A 25,523-nucleotide genomic window follows, 5' to 3' on the forward strand; every position below is an offset into this window, starting at 1 on the left:
AAAATAGAGATGAATATGAAGGAATTTGTAAAGATAAAATGAAATTGTCTATATAATGAGCACAGTACAAAGTAAGAAATCAACAATTATTTTCTTTCTCCTTTCCTTACAGCTTGTAATTAATCATGGTATTTATAGAGATGTATAAGCAAGAATAGTCCAGTTTGCAAACAACATTTTTTTTCTGTTACTTTTTATTCTTCCTTCTTCAGAGTATGTCTCCATTTTCCAAAACTGCAAGATAAAAAAAGAATCATTGAGCTTCCTGTACTAAGATTATAGTTCACATTCAATTTGTAGCCATCTAGTCAAAAAAGTGCAAAATCACCTCTTGGTCGTCTCTGCTTTGCCCTATCTTTCTCCAAATGGAAGGGAATGTGCTGTGCCCACCCATTTTGCTGAAATTGACCCAAGGGAGAGAAATTTGCCTTGCATTTGTCATTAGAAACCTGTTGCTTTTTTATTCTCTATAGATGCACTAGTTCCATGACTTCACTTTTACTAGGGTCAATTGGGTTTACATTCAGATTGCATTACAAAGCTGTGAATGGTAACACAGATAAGGGAGAAAACAATAGTCATTAGGCCCTTTTGAACTCAAATTTGCAAGAAGGAAAAAAAATAAGAAACAATATTTCTAGAGAGAAGATATCGTAGAGTGAGATGTAGAGACTATCTATGTCTATTTCACCCAAGAACTCACCTTTGGATTTGCACAACTATATCGATTGACCTCTTAATTGAGTGTTTTTGAAATATTTAACCAGGAGGACTATAACCAGTGTATCTAATAGTTTGGTGATCATATCTTGAGTAACCAGTTGATTCTCTGCCATGCCTGAAGACTTGGAATTCTGCTTTAAAACACAGTTACACTCATCACTGACAAGTTCAGCTGAGTAGAATTAATCTGGAAAAAAAAAATATATATATATAATCTTTTCTCTTTCCTTAACAAAGGATAAGCCAGAAAGCTCAAGAAATCAATGGGAAATGGGAGGCGTTTACAAAATAAAAACTAATTAGAGGCAAAATGTAACTCTGAGAAATAATAGAGCAATTGGAAAGTACTTGTTAAAGTAGGCAGGCTACTGTAGAATGGCAAATAAATATGAACCCCTACAAAACAAATGTTAACCACAGACAGAATAATTTCCATCCTTCTGAAAAAACAAAGGAGTTATTTTGAGATAACAATTCAGAGCGGGAAAGCAGAAGACCATTCCCGGGAAAAGGCAGGTATACAGCTAAAAATCTGACATGGTGACTAGCTTCCCCACTTTTCTATCCTCTGCCAAGTCCTTTTGACTATTTTTTTTTCTTTCTTGACATATTTTTCCTATCAAGTCTGCCTTGGACCTAGTTTTCTTTTTCCTTTCCCAATCAAGTGCTCTAACTGCATTTTGAAGTTTGATTATCTGTCTCAAGTTATGTCATAACTAGTAATAATCCAGTGTCAGGATGCATGTATAGGTTGTATTATTATATATCATTAACCATCTTAGGAAGTATATGTAATGACTCCTGGATTATAAAGATTTTGTATTTACCACCAGCCCAATGTGTCCATAGTTATCTTTTGGTTACAAAGTTCCTGACCGTCTCCAAGTCGCTGCCAACAGTGACTCTACTCTCTCAGTGAAGTCAGAGCTTCTGCCATTCTTCTTTTCAATCTCCATATAAACTTATTTTTAAATAGCTTTGGAATTAAGATATGATACTAGCTTATATCCTGCAATCTCATTTTGAATAAAGTCCCCAAATCTTTGGCATGTCCTTCCTGCCTTGGTTCTTTATAGTCTCCCCACTTACCCTCATTCCTCTTCAGCCACACTAGTCTACTTGCTCTTCCAGAAACACACCAAGTCAACTCCCTCCTCAGGCACTGGCACTTATTTTGCTCTATGCTTTGAAACTCTTCCCTAATACATTGTTCAGATCTCTCCTTAAACATCCTCTCTAAATGGCCTTCTCAGACCACCTTATCTAAAACAGCACCACAGCCACTTTTATCATTTCACTCTGTTCTAGTTTCCTTCTTGATTCCTATCTATCTGACATTAAATTTGTTTTATTCATTGACATTTTACTTTTACTCCCTCCATGATGAGCATGTAAGCTCTGTAAAAGTAGGGATCCTGACAGTTTTCTTCTTGTCTCTTTCTCTATATTTATAACAGTGCTTGGAATATGGTAGGGGTTCAGAAAATAGACTGAATGGATAAATGAATGAATAAATGAATGAAACACCTTCTACTGCACTCTGAAATGTTTGAGAGCGGTGAACAAACAGCACATAAAATAAACTACCTTGGCCATCACAGTGGCTTACGCCTGTAATCCCAGCACTTTGGAAGGTGGAGGCGGGTGGATCACGAGGTCAGGAGTTTGAGACCAGCCTGGCCAACATGGTGAAACCCCATCTCTACTAAAAATACAAAAATTGGCTGGGCGTGGTGGCACGCACCTGTAATCTCAGTTACTCAGGGGATTACTCAGGGGGCTGAGGCAGGAGAATCATTTGAACCCGGGAGGCGGAGGTTGTAGAGCCGAGATCGCACCATTGCACTCCAGCCTGGGCGACAGGGCGAGACTTTGTCTCAAGTAAATAAATAAATAAATAAATAAATAAACAAAAAAACTCCCTTATATATGATAGATATTTAACATAATTTTATAAAAGAGAATGTACGAACAAATGAATGAATACAATAGCTATTTGATTAACTAGAAATTCTTTTTTTTTTTTGGATGGAGTTTCGCTCTTGTTGCCTAGGCTGGAGTGCAATGGCACCATCTCAGCTCACCGCAACCTCCGCCTCCTGGGTTTAAGCAATTCTCCTGCCTCAACCTCCCAAGTAGCTGGGATTACAAGCATGTGCCACCATGCCTGGCTAAGTTTGTATTTTTAGTAGAGACGAGGTTTCTCCATGTTGGTCAGACTGGTCTCGAACTCCCAACTTCAGGTGATCCACCCGTCTCAGCCTCCCCAAGTGCTGGGATTATAGGCGTGAGCCACTGCACCGGCCTAACTAGAAATTCTTATTCTCTAACTGCAATTTAGTGTATTAGAGAGATTTTCTATGAGTGTTAGTAACATAGAGGAACAGTGAGGGAGTACCATTGCTGGGGTTTCTGGATTACAAATAAAATTTTTAATTTCTACATTATAATTTTTTTACAGAAAGGGCCAACGGATATTCATGTAGCAGCCTGAAGAATGACCAATACCGTTGCAAGTAAGGGGCAATGACAGCTGTGTTTCATGGGCCCTAGAATTTCTACTCAATTATGTGCTATTCTAGGGCTTTTCCATTTCTTTGGGGTGAAGTTAGTTGAATCCTGATCCAAGCTTACTTTTGGAAACTTTGTTATGTTTCATAGCCAGGCAAGCCATACATTATCTTATATACTAATAAGATATTCGTATATTCTATTATATTCTAAACATTTTAGAATTATAGGAGCCATTAGGGCATACAACATTTGCCATATTTCTTTATAATCTCAATCCGATTTATTGAAATAAAGTACGATTGCATATGTATTGCTAATGGGAGTTTGTCCTTATTGAAAAATAATGATACATTTAAACTTTTTGCTTGAAATTTTGTACTAAAGAAAAGTTTAAGGATATCTTGTTCGTTATTCTACAGAATAACTAATACCTAAAGACAAAAGAAAAAAATAACTTTGAGGGGAAGACATTTGGTATTACAAAAGCCTTTTGATATTTGATTCTGAAATCATTAGTTGTCCAAGCCAAAAAAAAAAAAAAATAGTGAGGGGGAAATCCAATCTTATATACTGAGATTCAGTTCAAAGCTAATAGCTTACTACTCTAAATTGGCTTTAAATTCACTAATATTCTTGAGACTGATGTTATGAGTGTGTTAGTTTGCAGTAATTCATATGGTGTTTATACTACCAATATGTAACCTACTTGATCTTTGACTGTTCCAGAAACTACCACCAATAGATTATCCATAAGTTACATATTCATGGTTATCAGTGCATCATTTGGGCTTGATGGATTTCTCTTTCTTAGCCATTTAAAATTGTAAGGCAGTGTTTATAGGCTCTGGACACTCTGAATGAGGAAACACATTCCATTAACTGTAATCATAATAATACTTTTTGTCAGGTGTTACTATTTGTCATTGACCTCATCTTTATAGGCCAGTTCATTGCATGGTCTGAATTTCAACTCCAGTGTCATGCTTGCTATTTGCAAAATGCTGTGCAGAACTTCTCTTCTTGCGTGTGGACAGCAAAGTTAAACTGAAATAAGAAACCTGACAAAGATTTCAAGAAGCAAGATAATGTGAGTATGTGTGTGTGCAAGTGTATGTATGTATTTTGAGATCTAAAGATAACCAGAACACTCCAAACATAAATCAAGGAGTGAATGATTTGCATGGCAAACCAACATTTAGGTTACAGAAAAGAAACATGTCAGTATTTTCTTTTGTCCCATTCAAATCTGATCTCTTAGGAGCTGTATTAGAGCACAATTTGTTCAAACAGATATATTTTATGATTTGTTGTATTTGCAAATTCTAGTTAAAATATTTAGTTTGTACCCATGTAGACTGCATGATTTCTATGAATTTGGGTTCCACTGATACGATTTTTCCTTTTTTGTGGGACAGTTAGCTGATTAGATTTCTAACATACCTTTTATTTTCATTTTCTCTTATCTCTTTGATTTATCTGCACCTCTTATATTTTAATGTATCAGGGAGAATAATTATTTAAGTTTAAAGTTCAAATAAATGTAAAGTTTAAATGTTTATCATGTTTTCTTTTATAAAGCTTCCTTTTCAAAATTTTTCAAATATCCCTGAAAGGTTAAAGGATTTGATTTAGGGTCACATGACTGGTTATTGATAAATATAGAACTACAGACCTGGAAGGATGTTTGAGGTTAAGCATAAGCTGCAACACTTGTTATTGAACTACTATATTTGATATATACTATTTTATTTAACACAAAAATATGATATTGATTTTATAGCTTTTTTATATGTATTTCTAAAACATCCACCAAGCAAACACTAAGGTCCAATTCTCAAACCACATATATGTTATTTTCAGCTGTGGTTAGAGATTCAAATATGAAAATGGGGCAGTAAGACCCACAGTAGATGTAGTAAAGAAATCTAATAGAATTAGCCTTAGCTATTCTGTCTTTTGTAATAACTTGGGATGGCAATTATGTTTGCCTTACATCAAGTTGCTACAATTCAAGTATTATTGAATTACAATATATGTTTAAATAAAAATGGTAAATCTTCAAGCTTATTACAAGGGCAATATATTATAGAATTGAACTAGATGCTAATATGTAACAGCTTTTGCTTTATATGCCATATGATTTATATTTACATCTCAGAAATGAATTCCACAATAATCTTATATTAATCAAGATTCAAAAAGTATCCTAAATCTCCCAATAATTTTCCTCTTTTTGAAAATGGATAGGTATATTGGGAAGATTGTATGGTTCACAGTCTTTTCTTGCTTTTTACAAAAATCTTGCTTTTCAATAAGCAAGGAAAGCTTAAAAGAGGGAAATATAACAAAAATTTTAAAAAGCCAGAAAAAGAACAAGGCAAGAAAAAAAGAAAAGCATAGTTGTTTGCCATATTTGGCACCTGATGATAAAGGCAAGTGATCCTAAAATGTTTTGAGGAAACAATTGTGCAATATTAGAATTTTAAAAATCAAAACAATCTTGAATAAGTACATAATCCATCTTGTGTTCTTTATTTTCCCCTGAAGAAATATGGTGAATGGGATTAGCTTTCCTAAATAAACTAATCCTATTTCAGGGAAATGTCATTTTCCATGTGAAAACACCTGTACACTTCTAACTCCTCTGCCTGAAAGTTTTCTCATTGTATGCTGTGTTTACTTGTTTCTCAGCGGGGTTTGCTGATGCTAATGGACTCACAGCAGTGCATCCTACTTCAGTTATTACAGGTCTAATTCAGTCATTAACATTTCATTAATGGACGGGCCTCCTAGCTGCCTGTGAGGCTGTGCAGATATTGATGAGCTCTCTGCTAAAAGAAACAAGTCTTTAAGGTGGACTGCTGCTTTAGACACAGAGTGTCTTAGTGAGGTTTTGCTGGGAGAAGCGTGAATTGTTTTAGCTAAGTCCCAGGTTTAGCTAAGTCCCAGGTTAAGACACAATGGAGAATGATAAGAGTTTTGTCCCTTACCTTCAGGGATTCCACAGCATTTAACAAATTGAGCACACATTTTATTTTAGAATGAGTGGTTAATTAATAATGTCATCCAAAACAAAGCACTGTGCATGTGCCCGAGGTAAGAAATCAGAAACCATTTTCTCACAACAATTTAAACGTTGCTGTTTTTTGTTACTGGAAGTACAAACTTGAAGAAGTAGCTTAATGAAGATGTCATTTAATGTCTAGTTTCCCAGCAGCTACTGTCACCATAGTAAAGCATCCTGAGCTTAATGCCTTCAGTCACTTTTTATACTTTCTCACCTCTATCGACTCCAATCAGGCTTCAAACCTCCATTGCCAGGGAAACTAGTGATTTCTATATTGCTAAACCAGATGGTCATTTAAGCTGGCATTGGTTACTTGATCTTTCAGCAGCATTTGATACGGAACCAGCCCTTATTTCTTTCGATGGGCTCCATCATCCCATACTCTCTTGACATTTTACCAGCTACTTTTGCAGCCTTCTTTGCTGGTTTTCTCTCTTCTGCTCAAAAACTACAGGTTGACATGCACCTCCTGTTCAATTCCTCAGTGACTCAGTCCAACCCAATGGCTTTAATACCATTTCTGTGCATAAGATTTTCAAGTCTAAGCCTTTTGCCCCAACTTCATTTTGCAGTCCTAAGAAAGTTAAAAAGTGGTTTCCATTCTAGCTCCTTCACCAGCTTTCTATGTTACATTAAGTCAAAGAACTTCCCTTAACTTCTACTTTCTTTTCTATAAAATAAAGTTGTTGAACTATATGATCTCTAAGGTCTCTTCAAGCTCTAAAATTCTATGACTAGGAATCTGAGCTTTGTATAAACAGGACAATCAGATCTAAGAGTATGAACTGTATCCCCAGTTCTCCTATTAAACAAATTGTTATCTTCCTGTGCAACTGAGAATTGAAATATATTGTATCATACCAATTTCTAATGCAAGTACTTTGTGAAAATTCCTAATTTGATACCACAATTATGCTTGCAATGTAAGATTATTAAGCACAGCCATATTGCTTATAACCGTACATGGAACTTATATTGTTGCAATAAAGTGTGTTTAAATTCCATTACATAACCTTATTGTATTCTTTGATAGCATCCACAATTTTAATAGGAAAAAAATAAGCAGGCAATCAAAAAAGAATGATTGTGAGTAACCGTAAACTCTATTCTGATGCTTAAAAGGAGTAACTAGTGAGTTTCCTGTAAGCACCTTTAAATTGTGTTTATGGTCAGTATATTCTAAGCATCACAATGAACATAAGTATGATTAGGTTTGGGTCACTTCAAAACACTTTAAATAAGATTATTCATCAAAATATATTCTATGAGAATGTAGATTCTGCTTCATAAATAAGACTTTCATATTTTTGTTTGTTTTGTATGATATTTTAAGACACTTTAAATTTTAGTCTTCTAGGATTATGCTGTTGAGTTATAGGAAAAATATAAAAGCTTGAAGAACTTAATTTATTTGATAAAACTAAACATGAGGAAAGTAAAGACTTTACAAAATTATACAAAGAAGTAATCCAGAGTAAATTGGTTAATGTGTTTCCCACAGAAAACTTTAACAGTGGATAAGTTGAGGATGTAGGTTGTGCTCATTTAACACAGGAGAAAATATGTATATAATTTCTAGGCCACATGGCCAAAGTTTTATTTAAACTTTTTAAAGTTTTTATAAACCTTTTAAAATTTAATAATAACAAAGATATAAATCACATATTGAAAAATGATGAGCAGAGTAAACAGAGCTAAAGAGTATGATGAAATATTATAACTGTCTTCTTTGCAGTTGCCCATCTGACCTCATTTTGATGTTCTCATCATTTAAAAGCTTTTATTCCTTTAAAATAACAGAATTCCAAATCCCCAGTCTCCAAAGATATAAATGTACCCCAATTCAAGAATGGGAATACCTCAGTGCCACTCAACTTTTAGTTTTATGCTGTATATAGAGAAACCCATGTAAAATAAAATTAATTAGAAATTATGTTAAATGCTGTTTATAATTAAAATCAAAGTCATCTCAGCAAAGAGAAAAATTATAGATTATTTCCTCAATAAAAATAACAATAGTAATATGAATCAATGCACAACACAAATCTGTAATATTTGATTTTTTCTGGCAACTTTTAATTTTAATTAATTTTTACTTATTTACTTGAACTATATAATACCTTCCATAGTTTTCTTCCCTCTGACAGGATCTTGTAATGAAACTTCAAATCAATCAAGAACACTCTGTCACGCATGTTTTGACAAGTAACGAAATCCAGTATGTGTCCAAGGCCTAGTTTACTAGTACTGTGAAGAGAGTATGAAAGTGAATCACAAGGAAATTTCAGTTGCCTAAATCAGTTCAATCTGATGCAATATGGTCAAGTCTCTCCTAGGATAATTTATTTACAACTCTCTTAATTTTCAGTACTTATATGAAGAACCATAATCCATCTCTCAGTTTCTTTTGCTCAAGAGCTGGTAGCCGTGTCTCCATCACACATTTAGCTTTTTGTGCAGATGCCCTAGATTTGTCTAGCTGCCTCAGATTCTCCTATTGTCAATGCCATTCTAAAATTCTGGAGAAGGGAACGCTACTGAGCTGTCACTTTGTAAGGCATTTCTTGCTATTTGTAGAAAATATGAGAAAAATTGTTGAATACACTTTCTCTTTTACTAACCTTTCTACTGCTGATCCTCTACTTTAGAAATGTATGATTTTATGTTCCACAGAAGCAATTGGTCTCACATTTGATCTCCAGCTACCTTTTCAGATAAATAACATCAGTTCCCTGTCATTCATGATATGATTCAGCCAGATTGTACTACTGGCCATGTCTGTCAAGAATGTGACATATTCTCTCCCTCTGCCTGGTTATGTAATGGCAGTTAACTCTGCAACTCTTCTTGAATACTTTTGTCTAGTTGACAAGCTCTTACTCATTACTTTTCCCTCTACCATCTTTTCTCTCTGTGATTCCAAAGCATTAGTTACACCCTCTCTTTATATTATGTAAAACATTGCATTAATATCATTTATTTGTATATGTACTATGTACCTCCCTGAACAAACTAAAAACACAATTTAAGATGAAGGATGAAGGAAGGATTTTTTTTTCCCTTTGTGCCTCTACTGCCAAGAATAATACCTGGTTTGTATTTGGAGTTTGGATATACAAATTGGTTGTCATGAGAATCTCCTTATTTATTGATTAGATTGTGGATTTAGTGACTATTTAGTGCTATAGATGGAATTGTGTACCCCCACCCCCGCCAACCTGAAAAACTCATATGTTTAAGACATGGTCACCAATGGGATGGTATTGGAGATGGGGGCTAATTAGGTTTAGATGAGGGTCATGAGGGTGGGAACCTGATGTTGGGATTAGTGACCTTTAAAAAGAGACATCAGAGAGCTGGCTCTTTTCCTCTCTTTTTGCACACTGTGGGAGGACACAAGAAAAAGGTGGCTGTCTGCAAGTCAGGAAGAAGGCCATCACCAGAGCCCGAATATGCTGCCACCCTGATCTCAAACTTCAACAGTTCAGAAATGTGAGAAAATACCTATATGTAGTTTAAGGCACCTAGTCTGTGGCATTTTATTATGGCAGTCTACCCCCAGATTTTCCTCTAAAAATCTTCTAGTATTTCAATAACTAAAGCTGTCTGTCAGGAAATATACCAAATTTTGGGTAGCCAATGAAACACTACTGTTTTTTTCAATTATATAATTGAAAGTATTAATATCTATCATTAATTTCTCTAATTTATTTCCCCAACTTTTATAGATTTTCCTGCTATAAACCTTTACTTGTGTATAAAATATAATAGAGATGCCAAGATAGATTCAACCATTAATGGTTTTGGCATCAATGTTATATGGGGGGGTGTTCACAATTGGAGAAATGATTAGTCTAAATTTCTCTCCTGTTACCTATAAGGAAGTCAGTGGGGGTTTATTGGGTGGTCCAGTGTTATTTCCACTTGGAAAGAAAATTATTCTTATCTTCTATGGACAATTAACTTATGTCTGAAGAATGTGAGTTGATTTACCTTCACCATATTCACTTTGTAGCACTGAAGATGTTATTAGTGGTCATAAAATTACTTAATTCTGTCTGTGCAGATTATTTAATTAAATGATCCTTGGAGCCAGAAATGCTGCAGGTTAACTATATGCTGTGTGAGAAAATATTTCTTTTTATTTGGTCTACATTTATTGCCCTTTAAATTCAATAAGGGTCCCTCTGCTCTCATATTTCACACTTGGGTGAGTAGGAGGGAGTGGTCAAACATCATTTGACTCTGAAGGTCGAACTCAGCTCTTCACATACAACTGGTCTCTTCCCAAAATACAAAGTTCATTCATTTTGTATTTTAAAATACAGACTTTCTCTCCTCCCTTCTCGCAGTTATTTTTAACATTTTCCTTACGTTTCCCTAGCGATATCACAGGTTTAAGTAAATGTCTTCCTAAAAACATTGGGAAATAATCATCCAGGAAGAGCAGCAATCCCTGGAGCTATGAAATAGATTCCACACAGGAAGTAGACATGATACCTTGTTAATCACCTCAGCTGTGCCTGGAGTGAGTTGGGGGAACAGGTGGAGTCATCAGGTGTTAGGATTTCCTGTTTGATTCCCACATGGGTGTTTCTCCAGATTTAGTCTGCGTGGCCTGTGAGTTCTGTCCAGTGAAAAATTCTTGCCTAGCATATAATACAATACTTGCCTTACCTTTGTTCTCAAAACTGATTAAACAAACAACAAAAAAATGAAGAGCAGAGGGAAAGAATGTTGATTAAATAGCCTTCCTGTTTAAGAAATAATTGAACATTTATGTTTGACATATAAGAAGTCATATTCATAGGATAGTAGAGCAGAAGTGTGGACTGTGTTCATTTAAAATTCTGACTAGTCTTTTGAAATTATATTTAAAGTCATATTCATAGCATACTAGAGCAGAAGTGTGGACTGTGTTCATTTGAAATTCTGACTAGTCTTTTGAAATTATATTTATTCATTTGTTAGGCTTTTTGAGATCTGAAGAAATAATCCATGAACGTATCTCAATGGATTATACAAAAACAGTAGACTAGAAAAGTGATCACATGGAAGAAAATTCCAATGAACAAAAGAAGCAACAGCCTGAACCTATCCCTGCAAAAGGCAATGCTTTACCAGAAGAGTGGTAGTCTTATTTAATATGGCTCAGTAGCTGAAAATCCCATATTCTGGAGCTAAATAGTGTGGGTTGAAAAGTCAAGCCCTACCTAATATATATTATTGGACAAATCACTTATCCTTTCTGTGTCTCAGTTTACTAATTTAAAGTGTTGATTTTACTATTACTTACTGTATAGGATTGTGAGGATGATAATGTTAATATTAATAATGTTCTTAATATGGTATCTGGCACAAACCAAAACCTATTCCCCCTTGACATTCCAAATGATGTTACTTTTAAAGATGAAGAGTATAAATCTTTGAGATGTTGTGTTAGTTATCTATTGCTGCTTAACAAACATCTCACATTTTTATACAAATGTTAACTGCTTTATATAACAATGACTTGTTTTTTCTTACATATGTATTAGTAGGTTGGGGATTCTGCTTATCTCTGCTGGGCTTCACTGGGACCTTCTGGACTCCCACATATATCTGTGATTAGCTGTTTTGCAGTATAGAGGCTGGGTGATCTAGGGGGTTGTTGGCATTGGTAAGTTGACACTGTCCTGCCTGGTCTCTCATCCTTCATATGCTACTTCAGGCATGATCTGATAGGGCAGGCTTCAAAGGGAGTAAGTAAAAATGTACAATACAAACAATTTTTTAGGCCTTTGCTTGTATGAAGCCTGCTAACATTCTTTTGACTAAAGCAAATCACATGTCTATGTGCAGTTGATGTGATAGGCAAATAGACACCAACCCTTTTAATAGGAATTGCAAAGATACAGAGCACAGGGTATGGATAAAGGAATAGGTAATGTATTCGGGTCATCAAGCCTATCCATTTGCCACAACTATATACTCAATACCTAGGATTATGTTAAAAAAGGCAAGTCACTGAACTAGTTCAATACTGTCCTTCAACAACTATCAAATTTCATTTTACTTCCCAGCCATGAACACGCATTTATACTCTATTAGGTTTGGAATCTTGAGAAGAAAGAGAAGTAGAGAACAAAAGAAAAGTGTATGAGGGATTGGTAGGAGTTGTAAAACAAAATAGTGTTTTAATCTTGTTCAGAAGTAAAGTGGTGGAATTATCTATGAAAAAACAATTTCTGTCATATCACTTTTACACACCACCCTAATAATATATATACCAGAAGCAGTAAACCTAATAAAAACATAACAGTCACTTAATCATTTACCAAGACTGCCTCTTTGCATTATCCCATCTCATTAAAATTTTCAATATTGCTTTTAATAGTACCTTTGTGATTTAAAAATGAGTCTAACTTCTGGTATCTCACATGGTCAGAAGGCCACAATACTGTTCTTGGTTTACCAATTACACTAATAAGTGAATAAATTGAAGTATGGATGAATGGTTTTGTGGGATTCTGGAATGGTTATTTAAGTCATTTATATTTGGGTTTATTCTGCTATAATATTTCTGATTTAAAACTCCAGGAGGCTCTGGTATTATTAGGACGGTTTAATTTAGTTTTGATCTTTTACACGAATTTTTACTCACAGTTTCTTGCTTTATTTTACTTTTATTTTTTAAGTTTTCTATTTATTCTATTATTATGGTTTCACTCTCTAATTACACCTTTTCCAGTTGTGCTCAAACTAACATTCTACCCTCCCTCTCTGTGGAGTGTGTCAGACTTTACCATATTGACTGTGAGGCGTCACCTACTTGCAAAGAAACAAGAAGGAATCCGTTGGATTCTCTTTGAGCTGCACCTACAAACATATTGAGCAAGGTCGTTTAGCAGCAGGTTTCAGCCTTTAACTCTCCCATTCAGAAGCAATAACACCACATTTTGAAGATAAAGGGTTTAATTTCCAAAGACTTTCATGATTCCCAGTCTTCTCGGCTACAGATTTACATGAAACCCCCCTCTTATGACTTAGAACATAACTTTCAGCAAAACTGAAGTGTAGAAGAATAAAACGTTAAAAGAAAAAATAGGCAAAGAAATATGTAGGTGAATGTACACATACCTTCACATATATGGTTTTAGGAGAAGAGAGGAGATGTTAGGATAACAGTGAAGTTTATTAAAATCCTCATTTTGAATTAGTGCCAAACTCCTTAGTTGAAATTACAATCACTGTTGTTACCTGTTTTAAGGGAAGAACAATCTGGAAAAAGTGAGGGTTCAGTCACTAAATTGGAATTTTGTCCCCTTGGCTTCCCAATACTTAAACTTAGAGAAGCAGGAGTCTGCTTTTAAAGCTATTGTTCCAAATAAAATCTTTTCTGTCCTCATAAGAGTGTCTATTTTTACTGTACTACTGTTTTTATTGTAATGCACTCACATTTTGTACTCTATAACATAGTATTTTTGCCCATTGAAAAATAAAAGAAAATATTCTCATTCTAGGCTCAGCTAGAATGTGTTTAGAGATTATATCCAAACCTGGCACACACTTAGCACTAACAGTTTCCTTTTTTCATCTGAATTCTCCTGGGAGAAATGTAAATGGCAATGGCTACAGCAGCAGTTGGAGCTAATGTACTGATGGCTGCGGGAACCGTTACAACAGAGAGCCCCTTAGCTAGAACATTCCACTCAAAGGCCATTTCTGGAGAAAAATGGGCATTTCAGGGAAGACAATTATTAGACACAAACTGGATTATAGCCACTGTAAAAACAAAGAAGAAAATATGCTAGTTAAATATGTTGTGTCTTTCCTTCAGAAAACTTGATACAGCTATATTAATTTGTGTGTGTGTGTCTGTATTTGTGTATGCATGTATACTTACAAAGAGCACACATAGACACACATTGAAAACGAATGCATTTCTATACATAGATAGTCCCTGTAAGTCTTTTTCCTCATCTGTAAAACAAAAGGAAATTTAAAGTATCTATCCAAAGTAATTGTGTAGAGTAAATGCATTAATACCTGAATCTGATAAACTAACTCTTGAACAGTACCTATCAGTGTCTGACATATAGTAAGTGCTCAATAAATATGTTGTTATATTTTTTATTGTTAATATCATTATATTTAAATATGTTTGGAATTAACAAAATTAACATCTGATTTATGATTTTATAATTAATTCAAATTTGCAGTCTCTTAAGCACTAATTTCACTTTATTTAAAACAGGATTTGGTAAAGTAAAACATACTAGAAAATAGATACACATCTTGAAAAATGTATAAAGGAAGTTTTTTTCCACCATGTAGCAATTAAAATAATAATATCTAGATCATTATGCTGTTTTTGTTCTGTTTTTTAAAATTCATAATTGTATTTAAGAGATAAAGGAAAAAAATCTTTTGACTAATTTTGAATGCTTTCACACCTGATACTATAAAGCCACAATCATTCTCACAAGCTCATTCAAAAATTAATTATAAAATTGACAACTTCATGATTGTTGTATTCATCCATTTTAAAAGCATTTCAATAATAACTCAGTAAAGAATACCAAAAGTTTTGACAGATGTCAGTTGAATACTAGTGACATCAACAGTAAAAGAAAAGAGAGCTCACTAATTACTGGGAATGAGAAGGGAGCTAAGAGGACTGTTATCCAGAAGAAATCGACCAGGAAATAATTGTGATTTATCATTTCATAGACTCATAATACAAAGGGAGCTGATCAGAAAGTAGGCTAGAAGAATTCTGTGGCAGATCTTTAAGAGATCAACATTTCCTCGGAGTAAACACCCTCCAGGGATCTGTATGAAAGATAATACCACGAAAAAAGGCTAACCTTCAAATTGTACAGTAACTATTTTTATTTACACAAACAACAAATTGTTAATAATCAAGGGATAATTTAATAAAATAAAATAAAACAAATTTGTATTTACCTGAAAATCTTTCCCTTGAAATGTATGCCTATAATTAGCCACGCATTTGTTAGTCTGAATTTCCGAAATACCTTCAATTTACCTGAACATTCTCCCAGAGGATGACAAAGTTTAAATTTTTCTGTCATACACAGACATAGTATTATCATACTCAAAATAATAGATGAGTTTGAAGAAAAAAAAAAACCTGTGGCTATAATATGTATATGTTCTTCCCTGTACTTAGAGCTCCCTTCAGTGTGTTTGGATTATCTTGCCCCTTTCCTCTACCATAACATTATAGAAACTATTTCTTTATGAGAGAAAAGGCTCATCTCTTACATATGAGTAGAAAATAAACAAAAATATTATTGTATTTTCTGCTAGATTTACTTGGAAGTATGTTCCAGTCACTATGGCTGCATAGTAAATTACCCTAAAACATGTGGTCTAAGACAACCACTTATAGTCTCGGTCCGAAATTATACAGGGCAGAGCACGAATGGCTTTTTCTCTCTACTGCATGATGTCTGAAGCCTTAGCAGGAAAACTGGGAGACTGGGTGCTGGAAGAGTCATCTGAAGGCTCACTCCCTCAGTCACATTGCTGATGGATGGTCCACGCTGGCTGTCAGTTAGGGTGCTCATTTCTTCTCTGTGCGGGAGTCTCTCCGTGTGTGCGAATTTGAGTTCCAAGGATGAGTATCCTAGAGAGAGGAAGAAAGGGAAAGGCCAGATTGCCCTTGAGGGCCTATCCTTGGAAGTCATGTGGCATAACTTGCGCGGCATTCTATTGTTGTGTCAACTGCAGAGCCCCGCCCATTTTCAAAGGGATGGGAAATACACTCGACTTTTTGAAGAGGAGTGGCAAGGTACTAGAAAAGCGTGTTGGACTGAAAATATTGTTGTGGTCACTTTTGAGAAATACTATCTGCCACCGAGAACTTAGGTATTTAGGAAGAATGTGACAGTGGATAATTCTTAATATGCAACGTCAGATTCTTACTGTTTATGAAGCTAGGGCCCAAACAAGCCCCATCTTCTGATATAGATATAATTCAACAAACACTAAGTACCTTTCAAGAACAAAACATTATGCTACATAATTTAGGAAATACAAGTAACTTATTTAAGAATGCAAAAAGTACAATACAAAATGTTGAATTTTGGTGAGGTTGGGAGAGAGAAAGATTATCGTCAGGGAATCTGGAAGTTTTACCTTGATATGAATCTTGACGTGTAAGTAGGATTGATTGAGTAGAGAGAAGAAAGAACATTTCTTCTAAAGAAAAGAGCTTGAGGAATGGTTGCAAGGTGAGGTAAAAAGGTATATTGAGATGATTCATTGGTCTAATATTAGAAGTGGGGAGGAAATGGTTACAAGGTGGCGTGGTAAGGGGAGTGAAAAAAAAACAACTAGAAGATTTGGATTGGATCATGGACGCTGTCACTGTCTAGGGGCAAGGGAGCAATTTAAAATTAGTTTTGAGCAGGAAAATTATAATCAGAATTATGCTTTAGGAAGGATTCTCTTCTAGAACTACATAGCTAGGGAAGACAAAGGAAGTGACAGGGAGGCAATCGGGAAAATATCTTCAAACATAAGGCAGCAAGCAGTAAGAGCCTGGGTTAGAATAGATCCAGAGGTTACCAAAAAACGTTTTGACATAAGGGCTTTCCCAAGGTAGAAATGACTGGACAGAATGCATAATAGAATTTCTGGGCAAATGATTGTGTATTAAATATAGTGAAGAGACAACTCTCTATTTTAAAACCAGGAACACCTGGAGGCTGATGAAGACAATAATAGTTAAAAGAACAGAAAACGTGAATGGATATGGAGGTCGTTTTTAGGTATGTGGTGGTTATAAGAAGTTTACAGTATATCAGTGCATAGTTTCCAGAAGATAGGTGGAAATCTAGAGCTTAGAAAAGCCTGAACTATAGGTGAAACAACATTAAGCAGTCAGTCATGAACTAAACTACATGGTAGAAGAGAAAGGAAACAGAGAAAGTGTTCACAGCTGAATCTTACCGGACTCATTGAGTGGCATGAAGGAAGAGAAATAGAAGTCAGTAAACAGGCAGCCAAGAGGGGATCCAGGAACAACATAGACAAAAATAAGGAAGAGCACCTTTTCAACATTGAAGGAATCCATGGTGTCAACTGTCGGAGATTACCGTCTGCAACAATGGAGAAGGACTCAAAAGATTTTATGCAGCACTTTAACAGCAGTGGTCCTTTCCCAGGAATGATTTTGCAACGCCCCCTGGGACATTTGGAAATCTCTGGAGACATTTTTAATTCTTATGACTGGAGGTGCCACTGACAGTGAGTGGATAGAGGTAAGCATCCACAAAGTATAGGATACATCCACAACAAAACATCATCTGCCCCAAGATTTTAATAGTGCCATGGTAGACAAATTCTACTCCAGCTCCTGTTGAGCACAGTTGACTGTAAAAGTAAGATTTCCATCTTTTCTCAAATTCTGTATCACTTTTCAAAATTAGAAAGGGCGGGTCCTCAGAATGCCACAATTTTTATGGTACCTCATAATTTCAAAAATGGGCCCAAGACTCATTTTTCCTTTTTAGACTAAGTAGCAGCAACAGATCCTATATGTTTCCAACAGTAAATGTCAAGTCTACTTAAGAGTCATGAACTGGCTCTATTTACCTTGTCTAATTCAATATGGATTTTTCAATGTGCAGCTTGAAAGCTGGCCTGCTGTAGGCTTGTATGTTACAGGTTAATGTTCATTTTAAATGCATTAAAAATTACTTAAATTAAATACATCTTAAAGCCTGTTTGCTAAGGTCTGTGAATGAAATATAAAGAATTCAGCAAAATGTGTATTTGTTTTCAACTTTGCTCTCTAAGACAGTTATATTTTTAGAGTAGCAAGAAAAAAAAAGATGTTTCTGGGAAAAAAATTCATTGTGGAATAACCTGACATTCTGATAACAGTGATATTTTTACTCAAATGCATACCTTAAAAATAATTTCAGGCAGGTGTGGTTCTTCTCTCAACAGTGACCAATTTTTAAAAGACTAAATATAACTTGTTGCATCTTCACATGAAGCAAACTTCTTAAATTTACTAACTACACAATCAAATATCTTTCAGAAGATGTTGATTTATTTATGTAAAAAGCAAGATAGTACAAAGTGGCATTGGGGAATTATTTCCCTTCTGCCCTGGGCCTTTGAATCATAGGCTACATCATGCTGCTCAGCTGTTGACTCTGGACAGAGTCCAGGACAGCACAGTACTGTGGAAGATGCCAGAAAGATGCACCTCCCTATAGCAAATGAAGTAAGAATTATCTTCTTTACAAACTCCAGAGGATAGCAGAATGATTTGCATTGCAGTTGATATGCAGAACATTTGTCTTTAATTTTTGGTGTCGGTCAGGGGGCACTTTTAGTTCACAAGATGGCATATTGCTCTCCTAGGAAGTAAAAGGAAGAAAAGCTCTTAGAGAATGCTTGTGCCCATCTTTGCTGACTGGATCCTAACATATTTAAGCACACAATGATGACTTCTTCAATCAGCATTGCTTAATTGTCCTTGCTGAGAGAGTCAAGGATGATAGCAAAAGAAAAACAAAATTAATTTCTTCTACCAAGGCACTTGGCATGCCAGAAATAAACCATTAGTCTGCCTGTCCTTTTAGGAGCATCTTGCTAGTTGAGACTACCCAGGTAATAAAATCAGTGTGTGCCTCGTTTTCTGTGGTGAGAGCAGCAGCGTGCTTCCATTTCCAGAACTTGCTCGCGGTTTTGACAGCCAGTGGAGTTGTTGTTTGCTGTATTCACATCCTAGGGCTAGGGAAGTTGCCAGGTATTGCAGCTGTGCAGAAGTATGGAGGCTCATTTTACAGAGGAGACTTCTCATGGAATTCCGTAGAAATTTCATAATGGAGAAATGCTTGGCACTTTGGGAAGAAGAATTTGTTTTAAATTTTCTTGGCAGAGCTCCTCCATGACAATAAAGTGCTCAGAAAGCAGTGCCTACTAGGGCTCAAGTAATTCCAGAGCCCAATCCTTTGAAAGGTAACCGTAACTATTTTATTAAGATGTGCACTTCTCCCCAATTTGGGTGATCTGACCAGGAATGGTGAATTTACTGTTCAGCTAATTTTAATGAAGTCCAATGAAGAGTAAAATATCCAATTACTGGTTTACAAGTAAATTCAAGTAGTTACTGGTTTACAAGTAAATTCAAGGAGTCCACCAACCATGGTTGAACCATGCTGGATTCATTTATGAAGGATGAATTATGCATTAAGTTTAGACCATAAAAATAAATAATATAAAGTCAAGTACAATATAAGGAGAGATATTTTGGGAGGTATTTATAAAAATTAGTTATGTAAACACTAAGTCAGAAAAGAATAATATTCTGATAAGCCAGTTTTATTGCTGGTGATTATGGGGTCATATGAAGATTGAAATTGAAGATAGTTTTGTGATAAGAAAAGCAACAATGTAGAATGAATCTCTCCTGGAGTTTTGGGATCTGGTTTACTTTTTGGGACTTAACCACTCTTTATGATCTTTGTTAGCTGTAACATGAGAAAAAAATATCCTAGTGTATGTGAAACATTTTTACACTTTCACTAAGATCTCAAGCTCACATCATACGAGGGAGTGGGTCTATAGAGTCATGTGGCATATGTGTTCAATAAATGGCAGTGATTCAAGCCCTTATTAATTTTTTGTCATAGAGCAAGAATAACATGAACAAGCTTGTGTTCAATAAAGCTTTTGCTATTAATGTTTATTACTAAATTAATTTCTACTCTAACTCCCATTCATGTACTCCTCCTCATTCCCCAATCTCAAGCAAATTTAAAAAAGGAATTTCTTTATTTGGGATGAAATTGATTATTCATACATGTATAAATTATACATCAGATAATATATATAGCCATAGTCTTACTTTCCTAATCTTTAAGAGACCTGTAAATTAAAGGACATTTGTAAAATTTGCTTTTTGTTTAAATAATTTGTAATATAAGAAATTAATGTGATTAGTGAATTGTATTCTAGGAACTACAAGTACCCACAATAAAGCCAGAAATTGAAAAGCTAGAGAAAGACGATGGATGGAAATTTGAAGCAAACCAATGACTATGAAAAAACAGCCTTTACCTCTTTCATTTCCCCTTAATCAAAATTCTTTCATAACTGCAGCTAAGTTCAAGATTCTCATTAGAGAGATCTCTAATGGGAAAAAATCTAGGAAAGACAGTATCACTGATAGATTCCTGAAGCCCACTTTAAACTCAGCAGCCTTCCTCTCTTCTACTGTAAAGTGCAGCATTCCCTAATGACCAAAAAGGTTAAGATCCAAAACTCCAAGTGGTGGCTTGGGATTTAAAAATCATTTTCTCCTTTATAATATTGATGCATTATTAGGATCTACTATCTTCTATGTACTGTGCCCAACATTGGGGATATAAGGGTAAGTTAGAAACAATTCTTGCTGTCAAGGAATTCATGATCATCTCAGGGAGATAGAAACATCAGCAGATGGATAATATTTTATTTAGCAGAATTCCCAGAGTGATAGGGAAGGCAGGCCAGCATGGCAGGACAACTTCCAGAAGAGAGGTCAGAGTGGTGAAATAACCTGTCCTTGTCCTCCAGTATCTATATGTTCACAAATTGGGTGGGACACATAGTAGGAAGGTAGGCTACAGAAGGAATTGAGGTAGAACAGCTCAGTATGATGTTGGAGACTGAGGGAGTCATAAAATGTGTTTCTCTTTGGAGCTCCTTATACCTTCAGAAAAGGTCCTAAACTTACAGGAAGCCGAGTATGCTTGAATTTCTATGGGAAGACATGGATCCGTGAGGCTACATTTGGAAGCTAGATGTGGAACACATGGAATGATACAGCCTGCAGGGGGCTGTGGAATGGAGCAGAACCTCTGGTAGGAGAACAGGATCCACTAGGGTATCATGTGCTCAGAACCCTGATAGAAGAAAATGCAAAATGCCATTGGAGTTCTATGAAGAACACCGTAAGTGGGGAGGGGATCAATCTCCGAGAAGGCTTTGCGGAATGAAAAAGGGATGAGATGAATCTTAAAGACGAGGAGCTTTTAAGAATAGATTAGGCATTCTAAGCAGAAAAGTAGAAAGAGGGAAATAAATAGCATGGGATGATTGGATAATTACCATTTGTTTTCAGCAGGGAGAATTTTGGAGATAAGATCTAGATTATAGGAAGCCTTGTCTACATTGTCAGGGAGCTTGAACTTTATCTCTCAGGCTGTATAAGACACTGGATGCTTTTAAACAAGGGATTGATTTGTTTTAATAGTGGGCTTAGGCTTGCAGTTCAGTCCACAAAACTTGTGTATGCCTCAATATGCCTGAAGCCTAGGACTGGTGATGGTACATCAATCAAGTGCAGCAAACAAACATCATGATTCCAACAAATCTCATCATCCCCCAAAGGCCTCAATAAGTTCCTGTCATCAAAGTCATTCCAGCAGCTGTGTTGTGTAAACAATGTGTCTATGGCAAAATAATTGGGAGTTCAACAGTAATCCTTCCCACTCTGTAGTAGGATGGAAGTATTCAATGCACTGTTCTCCTCTACCCCAGCACATTTTTGGTAGTAGAAATAGGAGTAGTTCCAACAGCTTAAGACATGGCTACAGTCAGTCAGAGGCTGGTGGATTTGGATGGTTCTTAATAAGGATCTTGAAAGTGAGTTGCAAGATGCAGGCTTTTCTGCCAGTGGTTCCCTGTGCATTCAAAAAAAAAAGTGTGTGAAAATCAAAAGAATTGGAGTATATTCTCTTCTATATATTAGCACTGCTTGAAGCACAACCATTGGTTTATTCCTGGGGTTATATATGTTCCTGTGAATATTCTTGTGCACTTCTATTTTTCTTATTAATATTAAAAAAACTGATAACTAAAAGTCACATTATTTTGTGATATCTTTCCTCACCCATCCTAAGGGTCATGACAGCACTCGTATAGCAAAATACAGATTAACAAGAGAAAAGCACAACACATTTATTTAATCAAAGTTTTATGTCACACAAGTGGCTTCAGAAACGTGTCTATTTTTGTGTTTACATTCCATAAAGAATGAACAGCTGTGTAGAAATGTGATTGGACCAAAGAATATGATCTAATGGTAATAGATTAAGGGAGGGTTCTTAGCCAACACCTGACTTCAGATGCTTCTTGGACTCTCGGTGTAGCATTCCTTCCCACTAGATGTGGGGCAGGACCCCTTTGAAAAAAGTGTCTTATAAACTACTTTCAGGAAGGGTAGGTCAGAGAAGTTCTTTACAGCCAGCTCTGATGCAGAAAAGCAAGGGAAGGTCAGAGTAATCATCTTGCTTCTGATGATTCAGTCCTTCAGTTCAAAGTACTTTGCGGTAGCATTTTCTGAGCCCCAACACTCACATTTTACTTATAATTGGCTTCCTTAACATTAAAGTGTTATATTCTGAGAGCTAAAAAAAAAAAAAAGTGTGTGTGTGTGTGTGTGTAGTTTAACTTTTCTAAAGAATAGCAAGGCAGGGCCCATGGAAAGAAATGGGTTTTGCACAGAGAAAGCTGCTAAGAAGACGACTGGCTACAGAGTGGACCGATAGGGAGGAGTCAAGATGAAGGAGGAGGAGTCAAGACGAAGGAGGAGTAGTGGCTGTCTTGGTGTGCCTTCCATTCAAACACCCTTTTCATGCTCATTGTCATGATGCTGTATTCCAGCGTTCAAGGATTTGATCTAGCGTGTATTCTCAGTTCTACTATAGAGCTTACTGTATAGCTACACTTAATAAATTTTAAAACAAAAATAAATAGATCGACCTTGCTTTGAAATGAAAGCCAAAGGGAGGATGGGAGGGCAGATGGATGGAATTTACAGGCAAGAGTTGATTTAAGACCAATAAGAGGGCAGATGAGCTGGTTATTCTCCATTTGCTCCCCCAGATTCCTTTTTGGCCTTCCTTTGCCCTGCTCTGTGACTGGAAGTTGCTTTTATGGACTACCCACAGGTTTTTGTTGTTTTAGTTGTTGTTATTGTTGTTCTGGGCTTTCAGTTAATTGGGGTGAATGGTAGGTATACAGGCAGAATATGAGGGACTGGAAGAGAAATGCAGGTTATTTATTTTTTGCTGGTGTCAGGGCGAGTGTTCTTTCATGGCTCCTTCTGTCTTAAGACTCCAGTAACACCATCCCCTCCCTTTTCTCCTCCAGGCTTAGAAGTAATAATGGCATCCTATAGTTCAAATGTATCAGGTGCCTCAAACATCTCTAGCTGGTTGCCTTCATTCCAGACTTTCTATTAAACTGCTCTGAGTGTACTATATTGCATTACTCTGTTTATGGGCTGCAATAACAAAATATTTCAGACCGGGTAATTTATTAAGAATAGAAATTCATTTTCTCACAGTTCTGGAGCCTGGGAAGTCTGCTATCAAGGTGGTGGCAACTTCAGTTGTCTGATGAGGGCTGATCTCTGCTTCCAAGATGGCGCCTTATGGCTGCATCTTCTGGAGGGAAAAACACAGTACCCTCACAGGGCAGAACCTGGAAAAGCAGCTTGTCTCATTCTGTGGGAAGCTTGTTTTATAACTGCTTTAAGTCCATTTACAAAGGGAGGATCTCTCATGACCCAATAACCTTGGAAAGTACCCACCACTCAATACTATTGTGTCCGGAATTGGTGGGTTCTTGGTCTCACTGACTTCAAGAATGAAGCCGCAGACCCTCGCGGTGAGTGTTACAGCTCTTAAGGTAGCGCGTCTGGAGTTTGTTCCTTCTGATGTTCGGATGTGTTCGGAGTTTCTTCCTTCTGGTGGATTCGTGGTCTCGCTGGCTCAGGAGTGAAGCTGCAGACCTTCGCGGTGAGTGTTAGGGCTCTTAAGGCAGCGCGTCTGGAGTTGTTCGTTCCTCCTGGTGGGCTCGTGGTCTCGCTGGCTTCAGGAGTGAAGCTGCAGACCTTCGCGGTGAGTGTTACAGCTCATAAAGGCAGTGTGGACCCAAAGAGTGAGCAGTAGCAAGATTTATTGCAAAGAGCGAAAGAACAAAGCTTCCACAGTGTGGAAAGGGACCCGAGCGGGTTGCCACTGCTGGCTCAGGCAGCCTGCTTTTATTCTCTTATCTGGCCCCGCCCACGTCCTGCTGTTTGGTAAAGCCCAGTGGTCTGTTTTGACAGGGCGCTGATTGGTGCATTTACAATCCCTGAGCTAGACACAAAGGTTCTCCACGTCCCCCACCAGATTAGTTACAGAGTAGGGACACAAAGGTTCTCCAAGGCCCCACCAGAGTAGCTAGATACAGAGTGTAGATTGGTGCATTCACAAACCCTGAGCTAGATACCGAGTGCTGATTGATGTATTTACAATCCCTGGGCTAGACATAAAGGTTCTCCACGTCCCCACCAGACTCAGGAGCCCAGCTGGCTTCACCCAGTGGATCCCGCACTGGGGCTGCAGGTGGAGCTGCCTGCCAGTCCCGCGCCCTGCGCCCACACTCCTCAGCCCTTGGGTGGTCAATGGGACTGGGCGCCCTGGAGCAGGGGGTGGCACCAGGGAGGCTCGGACCCCACGGGAGCCCATGGAGGGGGTGGGAGGCTCAGGCATGGCGGGCTGCAGGTCCCGAGCCCTGCCCCGCAGGAAGGCAGCTAAGGCCCGGTGAGAAATCGAGCGCAGCGCCAGGTGGGCTGGCACTGCTGGGGGACCAAGTACACCCTCCGCAGCCGCTGGCCAGACTGCTAAGCCCCTCATTCCCCGGGCCGGCGGGGCCGGCAGAGCCGGCAGGCTGCTCCGAGTGAGGGGCCCGCCAAGCCCATGCCCACCCTGAACTCCAGCTGGCCCTCAAGCGCCGCACCCGCAGCCCCTGTTCCCGCTCACGCTTCTCCCTCCACACCTCCCTGCAAGCTGAGGGAGCTGGCTCTGGCCTTGGCCAGCCCAGAAAGGGGCTCCCACAGTGCAGGGGCGGGCTGAAGGGCTCCTCAAGTGCCGCCAAAGTGGGAGCCCAGGCAGAGGAGGCACCGAGAGCGAGCGAGGGCTGTGAGGACTGCCAGCACGCTGTCACCTCTCACTATCACATTGGCAACACCTGAAATTGTTGTGGAGTGGGGTGGTCACACTCAAATTAAAGCACATCTGTTTCTTGCTAGGAACCTCACTGATAGAGCAGAGATTTCTGAACCATGAGGAAATGGAGGAGGAACATGTGACAGAGCTTCAGAAAAGAACTTCACACTTGGGTAGAAAACACTTCAATATGTCTACAGTAAAAAAAA

General features: G+C 37.3%; 2 long non-coding RNA genes across 4 annotated transcripts; one reads left to right on the forward strand and one right to left on the reverse strand.

The window, feature by feature from the left end:
* Positions 1–72: 72 nt before the first annotated feature.
* On the reverse strand, positions 73–13,675 carry LOC105373665 (uncharacterized). Of its 3 annotated transcripts, none has more exons than XR_923417.3 (5): positions 13,090–13,287; positions 10,805–10,953; positions 8,425–8,551; positions 704–910; positions 73–234 (listed from the first exon to the last, which is right to left on the reverse strand). It is a non-coding gene; the product is annotated as an uncharacterized LOC105373665 (long non-coding RNA). The 3 variants fall into 3 exon arrangements; XR_923419.3 differs by lacking the exon at positions 73–234 and adding an exon at positions 335–541; XR_923418.2 differs by lacking the exons at positions 10,805–10,953; positions 13,090–13,287 and adding an exon at positions 13,424–13,675.
* A 2,393-nt stretch (positions 13,676–16,068) lies between these two features.
* LOC105373666 (uncharacterized) lies at positions 16,069–25,454 on the forward strand. Its single transcript, XR_923420.1, has 3 exons — positions 16,069–16,103; positions 17,010–17,085; positions 25,398–25,454. It is a non-coding gene; the product is annotated as an uncharacterized LOC105373666 (long non-coding RNA).
* The last annotated feature ends 69 nt before the right edge of the window (positions 25,455–25,523 follow it).

Source organism: Homo sapiens, chromosome 2, assembly GCF_000001405.40.
Source record: "Homo sapiens chromosome 2, GRCh38.p14 Primary Assembly".
Classification (NCBI taxonomy): Eukaryota; Metazoa; Chordata; class Mammalia; order Primates; family Hominidae; genus Homo; species Homo sapiens.